At 38.1% G+C, this 25320-nt stretch overlaps 1 protein-coding gene and 1 pseudogene across 2 annotated transcripts in view; both read right to left on the reverse strand.

The window, feature by feature from the left end:
* TPTEP2-CSNK1E (TPTEP2-CSNK1E readthrough) overlaps positions 1-25320 on the reverse strand; it is a 108225-nt gene that overhangs the window by 66138 nt on the left and 16767 nt on the right. The window contains exons 2-4 of the mRNA NM_001289912.2: positions 24109-24162; positions 23542-23595; positions 4571-4732 (exon numbers count right to left, since the gene is read on the reverse strand). The gene's annotated coding sequence lies outside the window, so the exon portion shown is untranslated. The remainder of the gene's footprint in view (positions 1-4570; positions 4733-23541; positions 23596-24108; positions 24163-25320) is intronic.
* The window catches only part of TPTEP2 (TPTE pseudogene 2), a 54262-nt pseudogene that overhangs the window by 12164 nt on the left and 16778 nt on the right, over positions 1-25320 (reverse strand). Inside the window, exons 2-4 of the transcript NR_002821.2 lie at positions 24109-24162; positions 23542-23595; positions 4571-4732 (exon numbers count right to left, since the gene is read on the reverse strand). The product of NR_002821.2 is annotated as a TPTE pseudogene 2 (transcript). The remainder of the gene's footprint in view (positions 1-4570; positions 4733-23541; positions 23596-24108; positions 24163-25320) is intronic.

Consider the following 25320-nt stretch of genomic DNA (forward strand, 5'->3'; position numbering starts at 1 on the left):
TGCTTTTTAAAAAGCAGACACATTTACATAACAATGAAGAAGTGGAAATCCTTTGCATCTTTAACCAGTCTCTTACTCTCATTCTCCTTCCCTCTTTTATAATCTTCCGTTTCAACTTAGGAAACTTATATTTCTCTATGCCAACTTTGTGAAACCATGCAGAATGGCTGTATCCAAAATTGCATGACAACAAAAAATTGTGAAAATGTCTGTCAAATCCAGTTGTTTAATTCTTTTAAAACTATGAGTATGAAATTATTGTTATTCTACCACTTACTGTTTTGAAAAGAGTTCAAGGTTTTAGCTAGGTTATTTAATTGATGTTAAATCTGAGGGAGTTCCAAAAATGTGAAGAAAAAAAGAACACATAATTGTCCGAAGATTTAAGATCCTGAAATGTGATTCAGTAAACATAGTCATCTGTAGTTTCAACTTGGAAATTAAAAATGAGAAGATAACTCTTATCCTGTTTTGAGGAAAAAAAAAAGCCTATATTTAAAGGTTAATCTACATGTTCACAGAGTAATTAAGATTGTATTAAAATGTCTTTGTTTCTATTTAAAGTTTGTTATTCTATAACACAGTAGTTGCTTTTTTCTATAAGATCTTCAAGGCTGAGGACCCAGGCTCATGCCTGTAATCCCAGCACTTTGGGAGGCCAAGGCGGGCAGATCACTTGAGGTCAGGAGTTCAAGACCAGCCTGGCCGACACAGTGAAACCCCATCTCTACTAAAAATACAAAAAATTAGCTGGGCGTGGTGGTTCATGCCTGTAATCCCAGATACTTGGGAGGCTGAGGCAGGAGAATCACTTGAACCTGGTAGCTGGAGGTTGCAGTGAGCCGAGATTGTGCCATTACACTCCAGCCTGGGCTACAGGAGCAAAACTCAGTCTCAAAAGAAAAAAAAACCTTCAAGATAACAGTTTAATTTTAAAACAGTTGTTTAATGAAAAAAGGAAGGTTAGGGACTAGAGAATTTTTGAAACAATAATTATGATAGGAATATCAGTAACAAAATGTTTCTGAAGCTATAAATGTAAGCTAAAAATATAAACATCATTGACTAAATCCAGTCTTTGATTAGAACTAGTTTTTTCTCTATTAAGGCTCTTATTTTCTACTAGCACTAACTTGTACTCAACCCTTAGTACATATTCTCTCACTTTTTAGTAACCATTGTTATGATAAATTGAAAAGCCATTCAAATAAAATTTTGTGTGAATTAATCTGTTTGCCAGAGTGAAAAGAGTAGTAACAATAGGTAAACAGAACACTTGTGGCTCTAAGTCAGGGACTTAAAGTGGTGCGCTTAGCGGATAACGCTTCTGGTCACCTACAGTTTGTTTCTGAAAACTGAAAGGAGTTTCAGTGGTGATAGCTGGGATCACAGGCGACCGCCACCATGACCGACGAATTTTTTGTATTTTTAGTAGAGACGCGGTTTCACCATATTGGCCAGGCTGGTCTTGAACTCCTGACCTCCAGTAAACCACCCGCCTCTGCCTCCCAAAGTGCTGGGATTATAGGAGTGAGACACCACTTCCAGCCTACATGTGTCTTTATGGGAGAAGAGTGTTTCCTGTAGGCAACAGAGCAATGGGTCTTTTTATTTTATTTTATTTATTTATTTATTTATTTATTTTTGAGCTGGAGTCTTGCTCTGTCACCAGACTGGAGTGCAGTGGCACCATCTCGGCTCACTGCAACCTCTGCCTCCCGGGTTCAAGTGATTCTCCTGCCTCAGCCTCCTGAGTAGCTGGGACTACAGGTGCGCACCACCACACCCTGCTAATTTTTGTATTTTTAGTAGAGACAGGGTTTCACCATGTTTGCCAGGATGGTCTCTAGCTCTTGACCTCATGATCTGCCTGCCTTGGCCTCCCAAACTGCTGGGATTACAGGCGTGAGCCACCACACCTGGATGGGTCTTGTTCTTTCATCCATTCATCCACTCTATCTTTTGATTGAAAAGTTTAGTCTACTGACACTCAATGTTATTATTGATAAGTAAGGACTTACTCCTGCCATTTTGTTATTTGTTTTCTGGTTGTTTTGGGGTCTTCTCTTCCTTCTTTCATTCCTGTCTTTCATTAGTGAAGGTAATTTTCTCTGGTGATATGATTTAGTTTCTTGTTTTTTATTTTTCGTGTATCCATTGTTATGTTTTTTGGTTTGAGGTTACCATGAGGCTTGTAAATACTATCTTATAATCCATTATTTTAATCTTATAAGTTTTCATAAACAAGTAAAAAGAAAACTAATAAAAACTCTACAACTTAACTTTGTCTCCCTATTTTTTAACTTTTTGTTATTTCTATCTTATTATACCATCTATGTCTTGAAAAGTTGTAGTTAATATTTTTGATTGGCTCATAGTTTAGTCTACTTAGAGTAAGAGTAGTTTATACATCATAGTTACAGTGTTATAACATTCTGCATTTTTCTGTATACCTACTATTACCAGTGAGTTTTATACCTTCAGGTTGTTACTTATTGCTCATTAATGTCCTTATCTTTCTGATTGAAATACTCCCTTTAGCATTTCTTCTAGGACAGGTCTGGTGTTGACAAAATCCCTCAGCTTTTGTGTGGAAAAGTGTTTATTTCCCCTTCACTTTGAAGGATATTTTCACTGGATACACTGTTCTAGGGTAAATGTTTTTTTCCTTCAGCACTTTCAATATGTCATGCCACTCTCTCCTGGCCTGAAACGTTTCTACTAAAGAGTCTGCTGCCAGATATATTGTAGCTCCATTGTATATTATTGGTTTCTTTTCTCTTGCTGCTTTTAAGATCCTTTCTTTATCCTTGATCTTTGGGACTGTGATTATTAAATCCCTTGAGGTAGTCTTCTTTGAGTTACATCTGCTCGGTGTTTTATAACTTTCTTGTACTTGGATATTGATATCTTTCTGTAGGTTTGGGACGTTCCGTTACTATCCCTTTGAATACACTTTCTACACTCCCCACCTCCTCTTTAAGGCCAATACCACTTAGATTTGTCCTTTTGAGGCTATTTTCTAGATCCTGTAGGCATGCGTCATTGTTTTTTATTCTTTCCTTTGTCTCCTCTATGTATTTTGAAATAGCCTGTCTTCAAGCTCATTAATTCTTTCTTCTGGTTTATCAATTCTGCTATTAAAAGACTCTAATGCATTCTTTGGCATGCCAATTACATTTTTTGGCTCCAGAATTTCTGCTTGATTCTTTTAAATTATTTCCATCTCTTTGTTAAACTTATCTAATAGAATTATGAATTCCTTCCCTGTGTTATCTTGAATTTCTTTGAGTTTCCTCAACACAGCTATTTTGATTTCTTTGTCTGAAAGGTCACATATCTCTGTTTCTACAGGATTGGCCCCTGGTGTCTTATTTAGTTCATTTGGTGAGGTCATGTTTTCCTGGATAGTGTTGATGCTAGCAGATGTTCTTTGGTGTCTGGGCATTGAAGAGTTAGGTATTGATTGTAGTTTTCACTGTATTTATTGTAGTTTTCACTGTCAGGGCTTGTTTGTACCCATCTTTCTTGGGAAGGCTTTCCAGATACTTGAAAGAACTTGGATACTGTGATCTAATCTCTATCTGCTTTAGGGGGCACCCCAAGCCTCCTAAACTCTGGTTCTTGCAGACTCATAGCGGTACTGCCTTAATGGTCTTGGACAAGATCCAGGATAATTCTCTGCATTACCAAAAAGAGACTCTTGTTTTCTTCCCTTACTTTCTCCCAAACAAACAGAGTCTCTCTCTCTGTTCTGAGGCACCTAAAGCTTGGGGTTGAGTGACATAAGCACCTCTGTGGCCACCACTACTGTGACTGCATTGGGTCAGACCTGAGGCCAGCACAGCACGGGGTCTTGCCCAAGACCTGCTGTAACCACTCCTTAGCTATTGCATGAGTTTGCTGAAGGCCCTGGGGCTCTACAGTCATCACATGGTAAAAACAGCCAGGCCTGTGTCCTTCCCTTCAGGATGGCAAGTTCTCCTAGCCTCCAGGTGGATCCAAAGGTGCTGTCTGGGAATCAGGGCCTAGATCAAAAACTGTAAAAGTCTACGTAGTGTTTTATTGTGCTATGGCTGAGCTGTCACTCAAACCACAAGATGCAGTCCCTCCCACTATTTCCACCCCTGTCCAAAGACAGAGGAGCATCAATCCAGGGCCACCTCAAACACAGGCCATGGGGAGGTACTGCCAGACTACCACCAATGTTCTCATAAGGCCCAAAGGCTCTTAAGTCAGTTTGCAGTGAATGCTCCTGTTAATTATTTTTAAATGCTTTTTTTTTTTTTTCTTTTGAGACGGAGTCTCACCCTGTCACCCAGGCTAGAGTGCAATGGCATGATCTCGGCTCAATGCAACTTCTGCCTCCCAGGTTCAAATGATTCTCCTGCCTCAGCCTCCCAAGCAGCTGGGATTACAGGCAACCACCACCACACCCAGCTAATTTTTGTATTTTTAGTAGAGACGGGGTTTCACCATGTTGGCCAGGATTGTCTCGAACTCCTGACCTTGGGATCCTCCCACCTCAGCCTCCCAAAGTGGTTCTTATTATAAAAATAATCAAACTTACCCTTCTACAAATACTCGAAGAAGAACATCCATGAGAAAAAATAAGGCAATAGCTAGAGAAATAGAACGATACTCCAAAGGAATATAAAGTTTGCTGTCAGTGAAAATTAGGTCGGCAAGGACGAGAGTGACATCCAGTAAGACGAGGAAAACTCCAAATAGTCTAAAATAAATAAATAAATAAATAAATAAATAAATAAATAAATAAATAAATAAATGCAAAGATAAAGGGGCATTTGTCCCTATAGCTATACTATATTTAAGCCACTGATCAGGTACCAAAATGTTATTATTTAGTATTAAGCTGCCCAGTGGCAGGAAAAACTGTAATGCCTTAGAATCTCAGAAAAATCACTGTTTTCACCCAATAGAAGCAGTTCTTAATAAACAAAATTCTCACCAAACCACTTCAGAAGATATTATCATGGCCTTTTATAGTAGACACATCAGACCAACACCTCAAGAGAGAAAAAGTAAAACTGAATTAAAATCACCTGTGTCTGTTTACAAACTCTTCTTAAAATGTGAGAATTTCATAAGAAGTTTATACCAACTTCTCATAAAAAATAAACCCTCATTAATCTGGATAATTCTAAAGAATTTATTAATAAAAACCAAATGAAAGCATGAGTAACATAAGCTCTTAAAAGACCAAGATTTTTCATCAGTGACATTTTCAACAAGTCCATGATTTCATCTTTATGGGTGCTTCGAGCAGAGTGATGGGCACATGAGTCTTGAACTCTAAAGTACCTCCTGCCACTTGCTGTTACATATTCCAAATACATTCTCCATAAATTGATTCGACTATTTGCCTAATCTATGAAGGTGAATTAGTCTTTGAAGTACTTTTTTAAAAACTTGCAGCTCAAATTCAAATATTATTAATTCAAAAGGAAACAATTATATTGCATAAATCTATATCATATAGTATGAAATCTTACTCTTATGTAGTCTAAATAAATAGTTTCCAGAATTAAAGAGTAATTCCAGATGTATAAGGTACTAATAAAACACTTTACTAATAATTACAGAATTTTAACATTTGATTTTCATTAATGTTACTTTTGCAGATGGAAGAAAAACAATATGTTACTATTAATCTTAGGCAAAAGCCATTTATTTGCAATTCTTAATGTCCAGCTTAAACCAAAATTCCATGATAAATTAGATTACATTAGATGGGGCACATGGCTACTTAGCAACTGATGGACAGTGGAAATGCTTTTTTGTTATTTTATTTCAGTGTTTCTCATTGAAGTATTAAGTCTCATATATATATATATGTATGTATAGATATATATGAGACTCATTTTTTTTTTTTTTTTACATGGAGTCTTGCTGTGTCACCAAGGCTGAGGTGCAATGGTGCAATTTCAGCTCACTGCAACCTATGCCTCCTCGGTTCAAGCGATTCTTCTGCCTCAGCCTCCTGAGTAGCTGGGATTACAGGCACCCACCATTATGCTTGGCTAATTTTTGTATTTTTAGTAGAGATGGGGTTTCACCATGTTAGCCAGGCTGGTCTTGAACTCCTGACTTCATGTGATCCGCCCGCCTCGGCCTCCCAGAGTGCTGGGATTACAGGCGTGAGCCACCACACCCAGCCAAGTCTCAGATATATTTAATACATGGTGTTTTCTGTGTCTCACATACCCAAATGCAAAGGATGATACAATTGAATGCACAATTTTCTTAATCTTACTGCTGCAAAAAGAAGTAAAAATAAAATTAATCAGATTTCTTCTAACATATATTGTAAATTTAACCAAAAAACAAAGGCCCTTATAAATATAATTTTAAAAGAAAATTATTCAGAAGTTGTATAACAAAATGCTTTTTACTAATAGCTAAAATGTTATTCTTCCTGCTCCATGAGTATTTTACTTGTTTACTATGCTATCCAGAAGACAGTAAACTTTGGATGTTTAGTAACATTTCCATTGCATGCAAAGCCCCAACCCCAACTTTATGGCAATACTAAACTTAAACTTGTGGTCATCATCTCAAGGAGTATAGCATGAAGACAGAAAAGGGTGGTAGAAGAGAACTGTATTTTAATGCCAGCCTGGGCAAATCATCAAACTTTGGCCAGATCTCAGTTTCCACTGCAATAAAATAAGGTTTCAGGAATGAGCATAGGGAGTAAATGATGCTCTTGTCATCCCCTCAAACTAGACACCTAGTGAGCAGATATACATTAGCAAGAGTCGCATATGAGGTTGCAAATGAACTTCAGAGGTAAGACATTTTAGTAAGATATACTTCAAAGGAGAAACACCCGAAAGACTGGGCTCCTTCCATTAATCAAAGGAAGGAGAACCTGTTTGATGGAGCCTCCAATAATGCCTCATTTTACCTTATGGCTGGAGACAAGGTAGCTCATGAGGAACAATTTTTTTTGTCCTACTGAAGCCTCCTGTGTTGGAAGCTCTTCAGGAGGAGAAGCCTCCAACACAGGAGGCTTCAGTAGGAGAAGTCTTCAGGAAGTTTCTGTCATACTGAAGCCTCCAACACAGGACTCAAATTCCACCCCAAGAGCCATGAATCCTAAGACAATGCTCACAGCCTGTGCCTAAGACTGGAGAACAAAGAGGGCAGATACTGAGCAGAACTGGGGCACTGACAATTGGCCTTTGACATGAACAGACATTTCTCAAAAGAAGACATGCATGTGGCCAACAAGCATATGAAGAAAAGCTCAATATCACAGATTAGAGAAATGCAAATCAAAACCACAATGAGATACCATTTCACACCAGTCAGAATGGCTATTACTAAAAAGTCAAAAAATAACAGATGCGGGCAAGGTTGCAGAGAAAAGGGAACACTTACACATTGTTGGTGGGAGTGTAAATTAGTTCAACCACTGTAAAAAGCACTATGGCAATACCTTGAAGAGCTAAAAGCAGAACTATTTGACTGAGCAATCCCATTACTGAGTAGATACCCAGAGGAATACAAATCATTCTACTATAAAGATACATGCATATGAATGTTCACTGCAGCACTATTTACAATAGCAAAGACATGGAATCAACCTAGGTACCCATCAATGACAGATTGGATAAAGAAAATGTGGTACATATATACCATGGAATACTATGCAGCCATAAAAAAAGAATGAGATCATGTATTTTGTGGGAACATCGATGGAGCTGGAGGCTCTTATCCTTAGCAAACTAGTGCAGAAAGAGAAAACCAAATACTGAATGTTCTCACCTATCAGTGGTAGCTAAATCATAAGGACTGATGAACACAAAGAAGGAAATAGACACTGGGGTCTACTTGAGTGGGGAGGGCAGGAGGAGAGAGAGGAGCAGAAAAGATAACTATTTGGGTACTGAGCTTAATACCTGGATGATGAAATAATATGTAAAAAAAAAAAAAAAACACCTCCCTGACACAAGTTTACCTATGTAACAAACCTCACGTGTACCTCCAAACCTAAAATAAAAGTTAAAAAAAACAAAATTGGCCTTTGATGAATGATGTTAGGTTAACCTGAGATAAAGGAAATCCCCAATCCTTCTAATCTTCCCCTCTCCACCTGGACCCACCACCTCCACCCAGGCTTGGAGAGTTAAGGCTGATATAGATGGAGGATCAATTGGCCAAAAGAGGTGAATTCTCTCCTCAAGTTGCCATTCCCTTACTACAAGAACCTCTGATCCCACACAGTCTACTAGATCTCTGGGTATCAAGGAAATGTCATAAATCTGAACTCACTTGACAATGTCACCATACAGAACCAAGTCTGACAGATTACGAAGGCATGAAGAAGTGGCTTGGGTGGCTTTAGCCCCTTAATCTGTTTGAGTGTCCCCTGAAACTATACCAAGTAAATACACAATTGAGACTTTTTTGGTTAAAAAGGTATACTATGTAAATGCAGCTTCAAGCAGTTATGTGCAGAGTTTGCAGGGAAATAACTATGACTCAGTAAATCCATACCCAGGAAAAGTACGGTTCACACTCGGGAACAACAGACAGATACTCCAACATGAAGCAACACGAAGCATAGCCTCCATGTACCTTTCCTAAAAACAATTACTCAAAGTGCTTGAGTCAGCTGAGCAATGAATCAAAATGAAGAACACAGAAATAAGGAAGATGACTTACAGAGAAAAGATGATAAATAATATAAACTCAAAATTAGGTAAGTCTAAATAATAATTGTTAATGTAGCATAAAAATGTAGCAGGTGAACAAAAGCAATGGCAACAAAAGCCAGAATTGACAAATGGGATCTAATTAAACTAAAGAGCTTCTGCACAGCAAAAGAAACTACCATCAGAGTGAACAGGCAAACTACAGAATGGGAGAAAATTTTTGCAATCTACTCATCTGACAAAGGGCTAATATCCAGAATCTACAAAGATCTCAAACAAATTTACAAGAAAAAAACAAACAACCCCATAAAAAGGTGGGCAAAGGATATGAACAGACACTTCTCAAAAGAAGACATTTATGCAGCCCACAGACACATGAAAAAATGCTCATCATCACTGGCCATCAGAGGAATGCAAATCAAAACCACCATGACATACCATCTCACGACAGTTAGAATGGTGATCATTAAAAAGTCAAGAAACAACAGGTGCTGGAGAGGATGTGGAGAAACTGAACACTTTTACACTGTTGGTGGGACTGTAAACTACTTCAACCATTGTGGAAGACAGTGTGGCGATTCCTCAAGGATCTAAAACTAGAAATACCATTTGACCCAGCCATCCCATTACTGGGTATATACTCAAAGGATTATAAATCATGCTGCTATAAAGACACATGCACACGTATGTTTATTGCAGCACTATTCACAATAGCAAAGACTTGGAACCAACCCAAATGTCCAACAATGATAGATTGGATTAAGAAAATGTGGCACATATACACCATGGAATAATAAGCAGCCATAAAAAAGGATGAGTTCATGTCCTTTGTAGGGATATGGATGAAGCTGGAAACCATCATTCTCAGCAAACTATCGCAAGGTCAGAAAACCAAACACTGCATGTTCTCACTCACAGGTGGGAATTGAACAATGAGAACCCTTGGACACAGGAAGGGGAACATCACACACCAGGGCCTGTCATGGGGTGGGGGGATGGGGGAGGGATAGCATTAGGAGATACGCCTAATGTAAATGACGAATTAATGGGTACAGCACACCAACATGGCACATGCACGAATATGTAACAAACCTGCACATTGTGCACATGTACCCTAGAACTTACAGTATAATAATAAAAGAAAAGTAGCAGGTGAAAATGTAAATAAATGATTCTGAAAGTAAAGATAATATAAAATCATGAATAATAGTATTGATTTGAATTTTTAGGCATTCTTACACTAGGATTCAAGGTGTGGAAGAAGATAGAAGTAAAGGCAGGTTGCATTTCTTATCTTTCACAGGTACAAGTCCAGTTTTATTCTCGATATTGATGGATAAAATGGTATAATTATGTTTTCTAAACATTTAAATATAAACATTGATAGACTAGAAATGGGCTTCTGACTTGCATATCAACAAAAAATGCAAGGGATAAAAACAAATCAATTAATTGCAAAATATAGACAAATTTACAAAGAAAATATCAAAGTATTTTTAATAAAGAAAAAGATGATAAATAAAACCAAACGTACCAGAAATCATAAATACAAACATATTACTCTCATACTGCATATTGAGAAATACTCTCAGATAACTTTGAAATTAAAGGCATTACATGCTATACACGAGAGACAAAAACTAAATTTAAATGACAATTCAAAAATAAAGAGATAGAGGCCAGGCACGGTGGCTCACGCCTGTAATCCCAGCACTTTGGGTGGCCAAGGTGGGTGGATCATGAGGTCAAGAGATCGAGACTATCCTGGCCAACATGGTGAAACTCCATCTCTACTAAAAATACAAAAAATTAGCTGGGCGTGGTGGTGCGTGCCTGTAGTCCCAGCTACTCACGAGGCTGAGGCAGGAGAATCACTTGAACCTGGGAAGCGGAGGTTGCAGTGAGCTGAGTGGCGCCACTGCACTCCAGCCTGGTGACAGAGCGAGACTCCGGCTCAAAAAAAAAAAAAGAGAGAGAAAAAAAGATATGAGATACTAAACCTTAAAACACTTAAAAGTTCCAATATTAATATCAAAGTTGAATTAAAAGCAAAAATATTAACTATGAACATGACTCATTTTTTATCAATAGAAGGTGGAAGCTACATGACACTAACAAGACCATGTTTAATGAAATGGGATTTGTATTGAAGGCAGGTGCTATCTCTCCCACTGGACACATTTTTCTCTTGTGCAGACTCTGGGGGTAGGGAGGTGGCCATGATGAAAAGCACGAAAAACACTGTAGTGACTCTGGTCTTCCTGCTCCCTCTAGATCACTAAAACAGGGTAAGGACAATACAGGGGGATGACATGTTCATGCTGAAAAAACTATGAGTCACTTAGGAGAAAAGTAAATTTCTACACTTTATACCTTAAGACAAAGTAAATTCAGGGCAGATATTTTATTTAAATGAAGAAAATAAATTCAAAACAGAAATTTTGGTGAATATGTTTAAAATCTTGGGGTAAGAAGGACTTTCTGAGAATAACATTAAAGGCAAAATCACAAAGAAAAGTACAGATACATTTGATTACATGAGGATGAAATGCTTTTATATAGTGAAAAGCAAGACAACCTGGGAGAAATTGCTTATATTACATAAAATAGAAAAAGGATCAATAGATTTAACTTTTCAGTCCAAAGACAGAAAAGGATAAATGAAGGTGTGTCAAAGAACGTGCATTAGAACAAATATATTTACTAATATCAGAGAAATCAATGATGGCTAGTGTTAAGTGTGGGAGGGGAGAAATGTACACTTTGCATCTTGATGTTAAAGCACATATCAGTATCAATAGCGTCACAATCATTCCCTTTGACACAGAATTTCCACTTCTGAGAATTTATAACAAGCAAATAACCAACAATATACAGAGATTTAGCCTCAAATATATTCATTTTTGTAACAGTTAAAAACTTGTAAAAAACTTAATTGTTCAGCAATATCTGACTATTAAATAAATTATATATAGCACATCTACACCATGAAATATCACACAACTGTTACAAATAATGTTGTAAGTGCACATGAATATATATTAACAAAAAAAATGATGTCATTAATAAGGTTATTTACAAAAGAATAAGTATGGTCTCATATCTGTAAACAAAAAAAGTATATGCTTGAAGAACTTAGAAGTGCATGCATCAAAGCTTAAGAATGACTATATGTGGGTAGATTTGTTGATTGTATTTTCTGATTTTCCTTTAATGACCTCTTACGTTATTTTCAGTTTTTAGAATAAAACCTATTTACAGATCTACAGAGTTTTCGAAGTATTTTTGCATGTTATTTTCGTTTTATTACTAATTTTTTACAATACAATATCCAGTACATAGATTGCATTATAGCCAGTTTACATTTGAATAATCTGAAAGTTAAAGAGGGTTAGTGACTTGCTGAGTATCAGGTGAATGAATATATGATATGCCAAAGCCAAGCACTGATTCCAGCTTTTACTATAAATCCAGTATCATCCCCCTGGTATGAAACACCAGCATTTCTCACAGGGACTATTGCAAATTCCTCCTATATCTACGTAATGAGACTTTGTAATTTAAAAATAAAATAAAATGAAAACCTGCTTTATTTTGTTTGGAGTCAGGAAAGAAGGAAATGCTTGCCTTGCTTAATCTAATTTTGTTTCAGCCCTGGGCAGCTCCATTACAGAAAACGTATAGCTAATCTGCAGACACACAGTTTAATTCAGTGGCAAATTCAGGGTAATTTGAAGAACTACTTGTATTTGCCCTCTTTGTTTCCAATCTTTGTTTAGACACCAACAGCTTACAACCATGGTGAGTTAACTTCCTCTATGGCCGTACTTCCTCTCCAGCATTGACACAAGCTGGTGAATGGTTATACAACTGGGCAAGAAAGAAGCAGAAGAAAAATCTCCTGAATATGTCTGCAGTTCAGACACAAGCCAGTTTAAGAATGTATTGTTTCATTACAGTAAGTACATGATAAAATGCCTTCAGGTCAGTGCAACAGGAAGTACTCTAGTGAGATTAGAAACAAATAAGAATAAAATCCCAATGAGCATAAAGAGGTCTTTAGTCAGCAAAATATGTTTGCTTTTGCTATCAATACTATTTGCTCATAGGCAAAATCTACAAAATTGGGAATCACACCATATCCAGTAAAAATGAGAAACGTTCACTATTGATGAGTTAAGTAGCATTCTGCATTCCTGTTTTTTTTAAAAAAACTTTTAATGGAATTAATTTCCTCTAAGAATACTTTTTACATTTTCAAGCTAGAAGAACATTTATTTCTGAATGGATGGAATTTTTTTTCAAAATAATACTTGTCTAAGAATTCAACTGGAGTAAATACGGTGTACCCTCCCACCCATACATTTTGATATCTTTCCATAGTTTCCCTTTTTCCTTCTTGCCTCAGCGGAAGCCCTGTTTAAAGATAAGAGATCCATCAATAGCTCCCTCCTTTCAAACTTCAAACTGACTTACTCATATGAAGCAACATTTTCAGCATCTCCAACTTCAAACTTGGAAAGTCGTTCTAACATTCTTTAGCCACCAAAAAAAAAAAATGCAAAAATGTATCCTTAGATATTTGCTACACAAAATAGTGATGAAAAATATATTTGAATAACAAGAATCCCATGAATCTAAAGGATATAGTAAACATGACTTAGCTCACTGGAAGACCTAATATTTAAGAAAGAAAATTACAATCATTAACCAGCAACTCTTTCCTCATGGATACTCCCAACACTGAATTTTGCATATTTTTATCTTCTTTTCTCTGTCTCTTTCTATATATATGTATATAAAGATATATAAAAGAATATGTATACAGATATATAATATATAAATAATGTGTATAGACATATCTCAAAGACATTGTGGGTTTCATTCCAGACCACTGCAATAAAGCAAAAACTGCATTAAGCAACTCACACTAATGTTTTGGGTTGCTGTGCATATAAAAGTTACGTTTACCCTACACTGTAGCCTGTTAAGTTTGCAATGGCATTATGTTCAAAAAACTTATGTACATACCTTAATTAAAAACTACTTTATTGGTTAAAAAATGCTAATGATCACCTGAGCCTTTAGCAAGTCATAGTCTTTTTGCTGGTGGAGGGCGTTGCCTCCATGTTCATGGCTGCTGACTGATCAGAGTGGTGGTTGCCAATGGTCGGAGTGGCTGAGGCAATTTCTTAAGATAGGACAACAATGAAGTTTGCTGTGGCAAATGACTCTTCCTTTCACAAGTGAGGATTAAGTGGTGAAGCCATCAGGTCCTGGACTTTGTTGAAAGCCTTTTTATTACTGATTCAATCTCGTTACTTGTTTTTGGTCTGTTCAGGTTTTTTTCTATTTCTTCTTGGTTTAGTCTTGGTAGGTCGTATGGGTCAAGGATTTTGTCCACCTCCTCCAGGTTTTCAAATTTATTGTAGAGTTGCTCATAATAGTCTCTAATAATTATTTTTATTTCTGTCATATCTGTTATGAGGTCTCTTTTCCTTGTTTCTGATTTTACTTATTTGGGTCTTCCCTTTTTCTTAATTAGTCTAGCTAATGGTTTGTTGATATTTTTTAAACCTGCTTTTTGTTGTTAACCTTTTGTAATTTTTGCCTCAAATTTGTTTATTTCTGTTTGGTCTTCATTATTTATTTCCTTTTAATAATTTGGGGGTTGGTTGGTTCTTAATATTCTAGTTTCTTGAGGTAGAATTGTTCAGTGGTTTATTTGAAAGTTTTCTAGTTTTTTTGATCCAGGCATTTATTGCTAAAAACATACTTCTTTTTTTTTTTATACTTTAAGTTCTAGGGTACATGTGCACAATGTGCAGGTTTGTTACATATGTATACATGTGCCATGTTGGTGTGCTGCGCCCATTAACTCGTCATTTACATTAGTTTTATCTCCTAATGCTATCCCTCCCCCCTCCCCCTACTCAACAACAGGCCCCAGTGTGTGATGTCCCCCTTCCTGTGTCCAAGTGTTCTCATTGTTCAATTCCCACCTATGAGTGAGAACATGTGATGTTTGGTGTTTTGTCCTTGCGATAGTTTGCTGAAAAAATGATGAGTTCATGTCCTTTGTAGGGACATGGTTGAAGCTAAAAACATACTTCTTAATAACTGCTTCTGCTCTGTCCCGTTTTGGTATATTGTGTTTCTAGTTACATTTGTTTCAAGGAATTCTTAAATTTCATTCTTAATTTCTTTCTTCACTCATTGTAACTCAAGGGCATGTTGTTTAATTTCCATATGTCTGTATAGTTTTGAATGTTCCTCTTGTTATGAATGTCTAGTTTTATTTCATCGTGGTAAGATGAGATACCTGATAGAATTTGTTGAGACTTGTTTTGTAGCCTAACATACGGTCTATCTTGGATAATGTTTCATGTGCTGAAGAAAAGAATGTGTATTCTGCAGCTGTTAGGTGAGATGTTCTGTATATGTTTGTTATTTATGTCCATTTGGTCTATGGTGGAGTTTAAGTCTGATGTTTCTTTGTTGATTTTCTGTCTAGATGATTTGTCCAATGCTGAGAGTGGGATACGAAGTGCCCAACTCTTATTGTAATGGGGTCTATCTCCCTCTTTAGATCCAGTAATATTCGCTTTATATATCTAGGTGATCTGGTGTTTGAGTGCATACATATTTACAATTATACACATATTACAATTATATTTCTTGCTGAACTGAATCCTTTATTATTACATAATAATCTTGTTTGTCAATTTTTATGGTTTTTAACTTGAACTCTGTTTTGTCTGATACAAGTATAGCTATTCCTGCTCACTTTTGGCTTCCATTTGCACAGAATATCTTTTTCCATCCCTTCATTATCAGTCTATGTGTTTCTTTACCAGTAAAGTGAGTTTCTTTTAGATAAAATATAGTTGGATCTTATTTTTTAATCCACTCAGTAAGTCTATATCCTTCATGGGGTATTTAATCTATTAACATTCAAAGTTATTATTGGTAGGTGAGGAGTTACTTCCAACGTTTTATTGTTTTCTGGTTGTTTTGTATATGTTTTATTCCTTTCTTCCTGTTTACTTTTGAAGTTGGGTAGTTTTCTGTAGTGATAAGGTTTCATTCCTTTCTCTTTCTCCTTTATGTATTGACTCTAACAGTGACTTTTAAAGTTTTGCATGTTTTCATGATGGTGGTTATCATCTTTTTACTTCCAGATGTAAAACTCCCTTGGGCATTTCTTGTAACGCTGGTCTAGTGGTGATGAATTATCTTGGTTTTTGTTTATCTGTGACAGATTTTATGTCTTCATTTGTAACGGATAGCTGTGCTGGGTATAATATTCTTGGCCGAAAGATTTTTTTTCTTTCAGAACTTCGAATATATCATCCCATTCTCTTCTAGCCTAAGGTTTCTGCTGGGAAATCAGCTGTTAGTCTAATGGGGATTCCATTATAAGTGTGTTACTTTTCTCTTGCTATTTTAAAATATCTTTGTCTTTGATTTTTCACAATTTGACTATAATGTCTGGGTTGAATGTATCTGGGGTTCTTTGATCTTCCTGGAACTAGATGTCTAGCTTTCTCTCAAGAGTTAGGAAGTTTCATGCTATTTTATTAAATATGTTTTCCTCATATTTTCTCTACACTTTTCCTTCTGGAATGCCCATAATATGAATATTTGATCAAATTAATGGTGTCCCATAAATCCTGTAGGCTTTTTTCATTCTTTTTTATCCTTTTTTGCCTGCCTGTTATTTCAAAAGACTTGTCTTCAAGTTCAGAAATTATTTCTTCTGCTTATTCTTGTCTGTAAAGCCATTGATTGTATTTTTTCATTTCATCCATTGAACTGTTTAGCTCTTAGGGCTTCTGTTTGGTTATTTTTATGATATCTGTATCTTTAGTAAATTTCTCTTTCAAATCATGTTTTCCTGATTTCATTGACTTGTCTATCTGTATTACCTTACATCTCACTGAGTTTCCTTAAGATTATTCTTTTTTCTGCCATTTCATATGTTTATGATTGGGTTCTATTACTGGATAATTACTATTTCCCTTTGTAGGTGACATGTTTTCTTGCATTTTCACGGTTGCTGTGTTTCTAAATTGATTTCTATGCATCTGGTGAAAAAGTCACCTTTTCCAATTTTATGGAGTAGGTTTACTTGTATGAATTTATTTGTATGAATGGGTCTTGGATGTCTGTTCATTGGGGTATACTGGCCTTGGTTCTACATGGATGCAGTAAGTGTAGTCTCCATGTAGTTTATTCAGCTGTGATCCACACTAGTAACATTTGCAAGTTACTCAGTGGCCTAGGTTAAGGAAGTTTGTAGTGATGGTGGTGCAGCCTTGCCAGGGGTGGGCTCACTGGGCTGTTTCGCAGGGTAGGGGTGTGTGCAGGCACACAGTGGGTCAGAAAACTTGGAGTATGGCTTTATGCGGCTGGCCATGGTGCTGTCACTCTAGCCAGGAGCATGGGGATGCAGCTGCTCAACCAGGGCATGACTGCCAGATGTGCTTTGCAGGACAGTTTCTCAGGCCCAGGATGCAGGCACACAGCTGTTTGCCTGGCCTGGAAGAATGCACTCCAGGAGTGGCCTGAAGGGCTGTTTCCCATACCTGGTATGTGGGTACACAGCTGCTCATCTGGCCTGTGGCCAGTCTGCTGGGGGGAAACTCATGGGCCAAATATATAGCTGCATAGCTGCTAAGCTGGACTGAAAATATCTTTGCCAGGGCTGGCCAAGAAGGGGGTTTCTCAGGCCTGGGATACAGTCAAATGACTTCTCAGCTGTCCCGGATGTGTGTCTGCTGGGGGTAGTCCATAGAGCTATTCTAGCTCAGGATGTGGGCACACTGCTGCTCAGCTGGCCTGGGTGGTGCCTGCCAGGGGAAGCCCAGGGGACTGCTTCTATGAGCCAGGATGTGGACACGAGGCTGCTCGGCTGGCCTAAGGGCATGTCTTCTGGGAGTAGCCCATGGAGCTCTTTCTTAGGTCCAGGACATGGACATTCATGGCTGATTGGCTGGTCTGGAGGTGCATCTGCTGGGAATGGATACAGGACTATTTCTCAGGCTCATGCAAGGTCGCACAGCTGCTTAGTTGGCCTGGGAGTGTTTCTGTCGGGGGTGGCCTAAAGGGCTGTTCCTCAAGCTGGGACATAGGTATGTGGCTGCTTAGCTGGCCTGACAGTCTGCTGGCCAGAGTAAGCTCCCAGGGTTGTTTCTTGGCCCTGAGACTTGGGCATACACAGCTGCTTGTCTCTCAGGTCTGAGAGACAGGTGCAAGGCCCACTCGGTGGTGTGCCTGCTGGGGGCAGCCTGTGGGACTGTTTCTCAGGCCCTTATTAAAGGCAGAGGGCTCCTGGGCAGGCCAGGAGCATGTCTGTGGTGGATGGGGCCTGCAAGGCTGTTTCTCAGGTCCTGAGCATGGGCTCATAGTCACTCTGTTGACCTGGGGGTGTATCAGCTGCTCAGAGGCTTAGGGGCCTCTCCCACTTGGGAGAGGGCATGTAGTGGTTTGGCTGTCTTAAGAGTGAATTTACCCTGGATGGGACTGCAGATTATTCCTCTGTCTGGAAGTGTGGTGGTGGGGGTTGATTTCCCTGCATGCATTACTTGAGTTACAGCCAGTCCTGGGACCAACCTCCACACAGCTGGGATTGTGGCTTTAACCCACCCATGTGGGCTTGGTGTACTGAAGATAAAGCTCCAGTGCTGGAGAGGCACAGTGGCTACTGCCCCCAGAGGAGGGCACACTCAAGAGATGACTCTGGTCTCAAGATGGTGCTGTGCTGCTGCAGCTTAAGTCTCTGGGGGTGGGAAGTCTTCACCTTGTACTCCTAGTCCAGGACATGCAGCTGTGTCAATTCTTGGCAATACTCCAAACTGGCCTGAGGGCTTGCAAAGACTGTGAGATTCTCCTGTTGTAAAGACTTTGTGTTTGTGATGGCAGTGGGGTGACAGGGATCTTCTGCCTACCTTCACCCTGCAATGAGAAGTCTCTCCTGTCTCTGGGCCAATTCAATCCAGATGGGGCAGAAGGGGCTGCACAGGCTGAGTGCTTCCATGCTGTGGCAACTTCCAGTCACCACAGGTGTGTCTCCACTCCTTTGCTGCACTCCAGGACTATCCCTTTGATATTCTAATCAAATCTTAGATGTGTATTTCTTGCCTCAATTCTTTCTTGTAGGGGAGATGAGCACCAGGCATCTCTAGTCACCCATCTTGCTTGATTTAGCATAATTCGTAAGGGCCCCAGGATTTTCAGAATAGTCAATGATTGTTGGCTTCAACTTAAAAGTCACCAGCTTCATTAGCCCCTAACAAGAGAATTGGCCTGTGCTTTGAAGATGTCAAACCATGCGTTGACTTCTCCTCTCTAAATATGAAAGTCCTAGATGGCATCTTCTTCCAATAAAAGGCTATCTTGTCTACATTGAAAATGTGTTGTTTAGTTTGGCCACCTTCATCAATTATCTCAGCTAGATCTTCTGGATAACTTGCTGCTGCTTCTGCAACGGCACTTGCTGTTTACCTTGCACTTTTATGTGATGGAGATGGCTTCTTTCCTTAAACCTCATGAACCAAACTTTTAGCTTCAAGCTTTTCTTCTGCAGCTTCCTTACCTCTCCCAGGCTTCATTGAATCAAAGGGAGTGAGGGCCTTGTCCTGGATTAGGCTTTGGCTTAAGGGAATGCTGTGGCTGGTTTGATCCTTTATCCAGACCACTAAAACATTCTCCATATTAGCAATCAGACTGTTTTGCTTTCTCAACATTTGTATGTTCACTGGAGTAGCAGTCTTAATTTTCTTCAAGAAGTTTTTTGGCTTTTCTGTTTTGTTTTTGTTTTTGTTTTTGTTTTACATTCACAACTTGGCTGAACTGGTGCAAGAAGTCTAGCCTTCCTCACAATCATTTCTAGCTTTTGGTTTAAAGTGAGAGACATGTGACTCTTCCTTTCACTAGGACACTCAGAGACCATCATAGGCTTATTAAATGGCCTACTTTCAATATTGTTGTGTCTCAGGGAATAGGGAGGCCCAAGGAGAAGGAGAGAGATGGGGGAATGGCTAGTCAGTGGAGCAGTCAGAACAAACATGTCATTGATTAGGCTTGTCATCTTAATATGGACATGGTTCGTGTTGCCCCAAAACAATTACAATAGTAACATCAAAGATCACTGATCACAGATCACCATAACAGATATGATAATAAAAAGTTTGGAATATTGCAAGAATTATTAAAATGTGACAGAGACACAAAGTGAAAACACGCTGTTGGAAAAATAAAACCAGGAGACTTGCTCAATGTAGGGTTGCTACAAACCTTCAGTTTACAAAAAAGTAACATCTGAGGGGCAATAAAGTAAAGCACAATAAAACAAGATATACCTGCATATACACACACATGTATGTATATATAAACTATATATGTGTATATATACATATATATGCTAAAGGATATATACATATGTTTACATATATATATATACGCACATGCTCATATGTATATTAAAGGATATATATATGACTACTGATGTTATTAATTTGGGTCAGTGCTAAAGAATATATCTATATATAGATATATATACACACATTTAAATATGCACATATGTAGACATGTATATAGATATGTATATAGATATGTGTATATATACACACAAATACATATTTATATATCTATGTATACTACATATATAGCTAAAAGATATATCTGTGTATATATATACACACACACATATATACGTGTTATATGTCTGTGTGTGTGTGGATATATCCTTTAGCACTGACCCAAATTAATAACATCAGTAGTTTTCAATGACACCACCATTGAAAGGTGAGTTATATCAAAGATATATCAAATTAGCGAAAGACTACTGATGCCATTTTATCCGGGCCAGTGCTAACGATTAAAAATGTACACATCAGGTCAAGTGACTTCAGAGACATACTTTTCTGGTTGAAATTATGTACAATTGCTCTACATTTATAAACTGGCTGAACTCTGAAAATGTATATGTCAATGATTTGGAATCTACTATTAATATATCATTTTTTCCTAGAAGAAAACCTTATATTATGTAAAGGTGCTCTTGGGCCTTAACAAACAATCTAATGAATCACAATTTAAGTGCAGTTCTTTATTACTTCATTTGTGAGTGAATTTTACCAATCTTAATATATGCCTCTCTTCTTTCTCTCCGTATTCTGAAATCTCGCCCATCATTGATGACTCTACCACACATTACTCTTTTTAATTCAATGGGGTAATAGCTAAAGGATTAAAAATGAACATAGCAAGACTCCACATGTTATCCTAGACTTAATTTTCTGATACAAATTAGCAATAATTATTCTACAATTTATAATCTAGTTACCCTGAAAAATGGACATTAATCAGTTATTTATTTGAAACATGGTATTTAATTTTTCTCTGGAAATGAGGTTTTAGATGTTTGTAATGAAATTTTTCAGCCTGTGAAAAAAACTTAATGAATCAAGTTTATATACATTTCTTTACTCCTAAACCTAATCCCCAAGTTACTGTTTCTGGCAAAATTTACATAAAATCAACTTCAGTTTGTAAACACCCACCTTGCTTGCCCTTGTAATTTTCTGCCTTCTCACGTTCAAATACCACTAGTAACTCTTCACCAATCATGGATGTCTTTCCTGCCCCTCAGATAGGGTTAAGTAACTACAGACCCAAGGCAGGGCCTCCATACAATCTGAGGGTGGGTTTACCTTTGGGGCAGTAGCCTCATGTGGTAACAGACGAAGAGACCAGGGGTCTATTAGCTTTGTTCTTTTCTGTTGAGAGCTCCTCAGCTCCCTGCCCACTGTTACCTCCTCCTTGCACCAAATAGGACTGTTGCCTCTTTTGGCTCACTCTAGTAGAGCGTCATACAATACACACATTCTCATATTTTCCTAAGGTTTCAGGGTGCTGCTAAATAAGGGTGACCAATGGAATAGGAATAAGAAGCATTCCTCTTAAGACCTATTCCTCTTTTATCCAACTAGATCAAAGAAAGAAAGGTACCTGCAGATACTACAGTAATAAGACTTTAGAAAACAGTGTCTAAAACACTCTGTATTGTTATGGATGCTCCATACAATGAACTTCCCAAATCTGAATCTCTCTTTTCTACATGTATACTTTTGTGTGTGTCTATGTGTGTATTTACTTTTGTGTGTGTCTATGTGTGTATTTACTTTTGTGTGTGTCTATGTGTGTGTTTACATCTAGCTTTCTATTTACTTAAACCTCAAATTTTGTGGAATGTTCGTTCATGTGTTACTGTTGTCATTTCACTGAAGGCAGTGCTGATGGAGTAAAAAGGTACATAGACATATAATGAATTTCTCTTTTTTGACACTATTAGCAAATACATTTTTTGCACCAAAAGGAGTAGATTTTCCATAAATATGAAATACATACATATGTAATAAGTGAGGGTACGCAAATCCTACCACATAAGCCCAGTAAGTGAAGTCCAACAATTAACAGAGACTCATTTATCAATGGTCAGTTAATCAGAGATTAATTAAATTATATATAAATTAAACCTATGTACATATTAGAAATACATTTTAGCCAGGCGCTGTGGCTCATGACTGTAAACCCAGCAGTTTGAGAGGCTGAGGCAGGTGGATCACGAGGGCAGGAGTTCAAGACCAGCCTGGCCAATATAGTGAAACCCCGCCCCTACCAAAAATACAAAAAATTAGTCTGGCATGGTGGCACGTGACTGCAGTCCCAGCTACTCAGGAGGCTGAGGCAGGAAAATCGCTTGAACCCGGGAGATGGAGGTCACAGTGAACCGAGATTGCACCACTGCACTCCAGCTTGGGCAACAGCGAGACTTCATCTCAAATAATAATAATAATAGAAATACATTTTAATTTGCCCATGCCTCCAACATCCTATAAAATAAATTCTTTTAAAAATTTATTTATTGGCTTAAAAATCAATACTACATACAAAACTCACATGCTATTGCTTAATGAGTAACTACAGAATTCTCACCTAGATGTTTCCTTAATCAGCCACTGATTAAACACAATCCTTTTATTCCTTCTGTAAAATCTCATTCATTTTGCAAGTTTTCTTGAGCATTACACTATAATTAACTTGAATCAGGTTTTCCATATTACTTACAACTTTATGATTTATTTCCAGGAGAGGTTTTCACATGACTGGGAAAACCCTCCACCACCTCCTTCCTTTCACTGATCATGCTAGTCTCTCCTGCCCATGAGACACAGTGAAGTACCCGCACACCTGAGGAAAGTGGCATCCAGTGAGGTGATGGGTTTGGGTTGGGTCTAGGCACCAACCTCACATGTGGACAGAGCTCTCAAGAGTGTGGGACAAGTCCACGTTCCATTAGCTCTGTTCTTTTTTTCCCAGGGCTTCACTACTCCTTATTGGCTGCTATCTCCTCCATGTTGCAAATAGGATTCTCTCCTTTCTTGGAACACTATGGTAGGGTCTCAAACTCAGGAAACCTGAATCCCTTAAAAAATTGCCTACTAGAAATTGATGGTGACAAATACACTAACAGGAAGAAGCAGCTCTCCTACGAACTGACCTTATACAACTCCATCAAAAAAGGATGCAAAGTTATCTACAAACGCTACAATGAGAATTGGAAACCCTGTTAAAAAACACTCTGTATGGCCATGCAGGCTCCTGAGAGTAAATTCCACAAATGTCCATCTGTCTCCGTGTTTTGTGTTTCCATTTTGTGCATGGGTTTGTGTAAATGTGTTGACAAAAGTGTGTATGGATGAAGATGGATGGATATATTTGTGTATGTGCTTGGTGTGTGTATAGCTCTATGCACTCTTATGCATACGTGTGTCTTCATGTATTTATAACTCACCTTTTACTGATAGGTGACACCAGGGCTGCTCCTTTAAATTCACCTGTGTGTGGGCTAGAGGATGATAAAAGAATACAGTCAGATAGGAGACACGATTCTAAATTTACTTTTTTGGAAAATTAGCTTTTATTACTCTAGACAGAAACCAATTAATTTCTGTAAGAAATCTGAGTCCCATAAAAAAACTGCTTAGTAGGAACTGAGGGAGGCAAATACACTAACAGGAAGAGGCAACTCTCCTATGACCAGCTCCTTTTTATACAACTCCACCAAAGAAGGATGCAAAGTTACTAACAAATGCTACAATGAGACGAATTGGAAACTCTGTTAAAAAAAAAAAAAAAAATCTCTATGGCCATGCAGGCTCCTGAGAATAAATTCCACAAATGTCCATCAGTCTCCTTTCTCTTTGGTCTATGTTTCCATCATGTGCATGGATTAGTTTGTGTACGTGTGTTGAAGAGAAGTGTGGACGGACGGATGGATGGATATATTTGCTCATGTGCCTGTGTGTGTGTATAGTTCTACGCACACTTATGCTGATGGGTGACTTTATTTATTACTCACCTTTCTTTCGCAGGTGCCTCCTCGGTTGCTCCTTTAAATTCGTTTGTCTGTGGACTAGCGGATGATAAGAGAAAACAGTCAGAGAGGAGACTTAATTCTGAATTTATATTTTGGAAAAATTACTTTTCATTATTCTAGACAGAAACCAATTAATTTCTGACTATTCATGTGTATAGCACTATTGGAACCTGGAATGTCTTTTTCTCTTTATTAGAAATGAGGATTTATATGGCGACAACCAAAATCTTAGGCGGGGGAAAATAGTAATGCTTCCCTATTTAAGTAAACCTCTTTATTATGACCTCAGTCTCAATGTGTGACAGACTTTGTGGTGGCAGTTATTTCAAACTCAATTCCAATTTGTAGGTAGTCAGCCCTCTTATTCCATTCAATGTCCTGCTTAAAAGGCCCTCCATTAGCTCCTTATGCTCACCCAGCATGGTGGTTTCTCATGTCCCACAAAAAGGGTCAGGTAACTAGAGGTTTGACACAGGGGCACAATCCAATAGGATGGTGATTTGAGGTTTAGAGCACCAGCCTCCGTGGTGGCAGAGTTCTGGAGGGTGGAGAACACCTCCAAGGCTCTTAGCTCTGTTGCTTTCTGCTGAAGGCTTCACAGTTCCCCAAGTACTCCTGCCTCCTCCTCACTCCAAACAGGATTCTCTCTTCCCTCGGCCCACTCTGGTGTGTCTCATACACAGAAATCTGAGTTTCTAAGGTATTTGCCTGCTACTTACTAAGGGTGACAAGACAGTAACAGACAGAAGCCTCCCTCTGTAGTCTGTTTCTCTTTTTTCCAAAACGACTGGAAAAATGTGGAAGTTTACCTATACCTGCTACAGTGAGAAGATAAATAAACTGTGTCAGACACTCTGTATTGCTGTGGACACTCCTCAGACTAAATCCCACTAATCTCAATCTCTCTCTCTGTCTGTCTCTCTCTGTCATAGTTATGTTTGTGTGTGTGTTTGTGTGTACATCTTTTATAACTCACATGTCCTTGATGCCTCCATCAATGCTGACTGCCGTCAGCTCATTTGGATGGGGACTAAAGAACAAATATGGTCAGAAACAGACACGATGCCTAATTCTAAATGTTTTGTACCAAATAGCTACAGTTACTCTATGAGTTATTCTCTGGTTACACTTTAAATATTCACATGTACTTTTATCACTAAGTTGACCTGGTATGAGTTTTTTTTATTAGAAACG

The sequence above is a fragment of the Homo sapiens genome, chromosome 22 (genome assembly GCF_000001405.40).
Source record: "Homo sapiens chromosome 22, GRCh38.p14 Primary Assembly".
Taxonomy (NCBI): Eukaryota; Metazoa; Chordata; class Mammalia; order Primates; family Hominidae; genus Homo; species Homo sapiens.